Source organism: Homo sapiens, chromosome 7 (assembly GCF_000001405.40).
Source record: "Homo sapiens chromosome 7, GRCh38.p14 Primary Assembly".
NCBI classification, from domain to species: Eukaryota; Metazoa; Chordata; class Mammalia; order Primates; family Hominidae; genus Homo; species Homo sapiens.
Window position 1 is genome coordinate 88539957 of NC_000007.14, and position 4460 is coordinate 88544416.

General features: G+C 44.3%; 1 annotated feature.

The window, feature by feature from the left end:
- Positions 221 to 1420: an enhancer, noted in NCBI's record as "CDK7 strongly-dependent group 2 enhancer chr7:88169492-88170691 (GRCh37/hg19 assembly coordinates)". NCBI's record gives its function as "activates an origin of replication core promoter dependent on BRD2, BRD4, P300/CBP, MED14 and CDK7 cofactors, with strong dependence on CDK7, by STARR-seq in HCT116 cells {active_cell/tissue: HCT116}" and the evidence as "EXISTENCE:reporter gene assay evidence [ECO:0000049][PMID:35650434]".

The window sequence follows — 4460 nt, forward strand, 5'->3', positions numbered from 1 at the left end:
ACATTGTCTAGGGTATATACCCAGGGTTTGTCATCTCGTGCCTGGAAAATTTTGGACACAAACACACATGAGGAGCTTAGGAGCAGAGGTTTAATAGGCAGAAGAAAAGCAAAAGAAAAACAGCTCTCTCTCTCTCGAGAGAGGGGCCTTCTGAGTGAAAAAGACCAGCTGGTGGCAGATGTGCTGGATTTTATAGTCTGGCTTGAGGAGGTGGTGTCTGATTTATGCAGGGCTCACAGATTGGCTTAATCAAGTATGACATTTACATAGTGCATGGGGAAGGCTGGTCTCTCTACCCTAATCTTATTATGCAAATGAACTTTCCCCTTGGCCAGCTCCATCTTGTCTGCTCCCTACTGTACATGTGACTGGCAGAGAAGGGAATATGAAGCCACCATCTCGAACACGTCTAGTCCCTAGTTCCTGCCAGCATTCACCCGTGCAAGCCCCCAGCTTGCTTGTCTATGTCTGCAGCTGGACTTTACAGGCTGCTCTTTGTTAGAAAATGTTTTGAGGCTGCTTTTCATTAAAAAGAAAAGCCTTACTGAGGACTCCCATACCCTTACTATCTGCCTAAGTGATTTCTTCTTAACTCCTATGTTAGTCTGTTTTCACACTGCTGATAAAGACTTACCAGAGACTGGGCAATTCACAAAAGAAAGAGGTTTCATTAGAATTACAGTTTCATGTGGCTGGGGATGCCTCACAATCATGGCAGAAAGCAAGGAGGAGCAAGTCACATCTTACGTGGATGGCGGCAAGCAAAGAAAGGAGCGCTTGTGCAGGTAAGCTCCCTTTTTATAACCATCAGATCTCGTTAGACATATTCATTATCATGACAACAGCACGGGAAAGACTTGCCCCCATGATTCAATTACCTACCACTGGGTGCCTCCCACAACACATGGGAATTCAAGATGAGATTTGGGTGTGGATACAGCCAAACCATATCAGCTTCGATATCATTCCCCTTCTCAGGAGTGGTAACCCTAACTGCTGTTAGAGGGTGTTGGGCGACAACTCTTTCTGGCTACTTCCTGCTGAAAAGGGGTGTTGTGTGGGGAACAGCAGCTAGGGCTTCTAGGGTTGATCTAAGTGTCCTTGGAAGAAAGGCGTGTCATGTGTGGTTAAGTCTGTAGCACCATTTGGAGTTTGATTGCTTCTAGGTGAGAGGAAACAATTCAAATTATAGTATTGAGTAGACAAGGTCCAAACATTAATATAAAACACATGAGCAAGAGGAGGCTTAATAGTGGAACTAACCAGTTGTACAAAGACTGGATGACTGGATGACTGAATGGATGACTGGAACTGAGTAGGATGAGTAGCCCTTGCTCATTTTCTTATCTCTTTTGATTTTCAGCTTCAGGTCTCTTATTTCCTCACATTGGTATCCAAGACATTCCGCTGGGCTGCCGGGGATTGCTCTCTCAGTTTTCCAGGCTTTAACTTGAGCATGATGTATCCAGGAATCAATACCTGTAACTTTTACTGCTGAGGGCATTGAAAGGAGAATGGTGTAAGGCCCTCCCTGCTTGGGCTTAGAGAAGGAGAGAGAGAAGGTAGAGACTTTACCAATACCAAATATCCTGGGTTAAATAAAGGTGGTCCTACTTCTTGGGGTTGGGCTTCTGCTACTTGAGTTAATTCCTGTTGAAAACGAGCCAGAGAGTTTACATGCTTGCCCAATTCAGAGGTCTCTTGGTCTAATAAGAAATCATTGGTGAGAAAAGGCCATCCATACAGCATCTCAAAAGGGCTTAGATCTAACTTTGAAGGGGCGTTTCTTACCTGCAGTAAAGCCATAGGAAGAAGAGTAACCCAAGGAAGATGAGTTTCTTGGGACAGTTTCCTGAGGTGTCTTTTGATGACATCGTTTGTCTTCTGTAGTTTTCCTGAGGACTGGGGTCTCCAAACTCAATGGAGATGATACTGTATACCTAGTGCCTTTGAGGCTACCTGTGTGATGGCTGCTTCAAATGAGGGGCCATTTCACTTTGGAGGCACTTAAGTAGACCAACACAGGGAATAATTTCATTAACTAACATCTTTACTACCTCAGAGGCCTTTTCTGTATGCTATGGAAATGCTTCTACCCAGTTAGTGAATGTAGATACCCATACCAGGAGGTATTGGATGTCCTTCATCTTTGGCATGTCGGTGAAGTCTATCTACCAGTCCTCCCCTAGAGAGCATCCCATCCTTTGGATTTGAGGAGGAAGGGACTGTCTGTTCATGGGATTACTATTAAGAAAGACTTCGCAAGCATTAACAACCTGTTTTACTGTTCTTAGTAAGTTCTCTCCTGAAAACAATCTTTGGGCACATTGATAAGTTTTATCCTTTCCCAAGTGAAAAGCTTGGTGATGGAATTTAAAGACTTTCCACTGGCTGGAGGCTGGCAAGTGGACCTTGCCATCCTCTGACTACAGCCATTCTGAGGGCTGGAAGGTATACCCTTGAGAAGTGGCCCGTTCTATTTCTGCAGGGGAATACTGAGGCTAGATTTCTCTTATGGAGCCTTCCCAGAGTAGAGGGGCTTGAAGTGTGTTGATGTCATAAGACTTCCTTGCTGCTGACTTGGCTGCCTGATCAGCTAGCTTGTTTCCTTAGGCTATTTCATTTACTCCCTTCTGATGTCCCTTACAATGCATCACTGCTACCTCTTGTGGAGGGAAAACTGAGGATAATTACTTGTTAATTTCCTGATGGTATTTAATAGAAGACCCATTGGTGGTAAGAAAGTACCTTTCCTTCCAAATGGTAGCATGAGCATGGAGAACTAGGAAAGCATACTTGAGTCAGTGTAAATGTTAGCTACCTTTCCCTTGCTTAACTCAAGTGTAAGAGCTGTCAGTTCAGTTAGTTGAGCACTTGTGCCTGGAGAGAGAGACAATAACATCATTCAGAGTGACTACTGCATATCCTGCCTTATGGATTCTTTGCTCTACAAAGGAGCTTCCATCCATGAAGAGGGTCCAATCTGGATTTTTCTAGGGGAGTTTCCCTGAGATCTTCCCTGGCTGCATAGATCTGTACCACGACTTGTTCACAGTCACATTTAGGTTTCCCAGCTCCCTCAGGGAGGAAAGTGTCTGGGTTTAAGTCAGAGAAAGTTTTTAACTGGATGGTGGAACCCTCTAACAATAAAGCTTGATATTTAAGGAAACTGCTGTCTGTTCACCAAAGGCTTCCCTTAGAGGACAGGAAACCCGCCATATTATGTGGGGTATAAACAGTCAAGTCATTTCCCAAGTTTAATTTGGAGGCTTCTGGGACCAGTAGGGCCACCGGGGCAATGGCTCAGAGGCATGCTGGCCATCCTTTAGCCACCAAATCAAGTTCCTTACTCAAATAACCCACTGGCTGTTGTTTGTCCTCAGGTCTGCGTTAAGACTCTCAGGGCCATCCCCTTCCTTTCTGATACTTAGAGATTGAAGGCCTTTCCTATGGGAAGGCTAAGAGCTGGTGCCTTAAGTAGGGCCTGCTTTAGCTGGTTAAAGGCCTTTTGAGCTTCAGGTTCCCAGGTTAGGAGATGAGTTGTAAGCTGATGGAGTTTCTCTTATGAGGTGACACAGAAAATGAGCTATCTCACTGTACTCAGCCTGCAAAATTCTGTAATGCCCCAAAATCCTCTTAGTTGCTGGAGGGTTTGGGGAGGGGGAAGGAGGAAATGTGCTTAATCCTTTCTTCCCCTAATGCTTTGGTCCCTTCAGACAGCACTAAACCCAGAAACTTCACTGAGGTTTTGCAAAGCTGGGCCTTGGATTTTGAAACCTTATATCCTCTGTCAGCTAATAAATTAAAAAGAGCTTCAGTGCCTTCCTGAGAAGCTTCCTCAGTTGGGGTACAGAGCAATATATCACCCACATATTGCAAAATCTTGACCTGAAGATGTGAAAACTCAGTGAGGTCTTTTGATAATGCCTGTCCAAACAAATGAAGGATATCTCAAAATCCCCAAGGCAGCACCATCCATGTTAACTGGATGGTTTGGTCAGAGGCATCTTTGAAGGCAGACAGGTATTGAGAGTAAAGATGTAATGGTATAAAGAAGAAGGCGTTCTTTAAATCTAGGACTGTAAACCATTTAGTTCCCTCAGATATTTGGGTCAGCAAGGTATAGCGATTAGGTACTACTGGATGGATTGGGACTTTGGCCGCATTAATGAGGCAGAGGTCCTGAACTACTCTTCATTACCCATTGGGTTTTTGCACTCCTAATATTAGGTTTTTGTAGGAGCTGTTACAGGGTTTGAGAGGACCCTGTATCTTCAGGTTATTAATAATAGCTTCTAGCCCTTTCTTAGCCTCTGGGTTTAGGGAATATTGCTCCTGGTTAGGAAAAGAAGTGGGATCCCTAAGATATATCTGAACTGGCTAGTGGTTAAAGCTTGACCAATTTTCCCTTGAGTTGTCCACACTTACGGATTGATATTAGCTTCTACCAGTGGGAGACA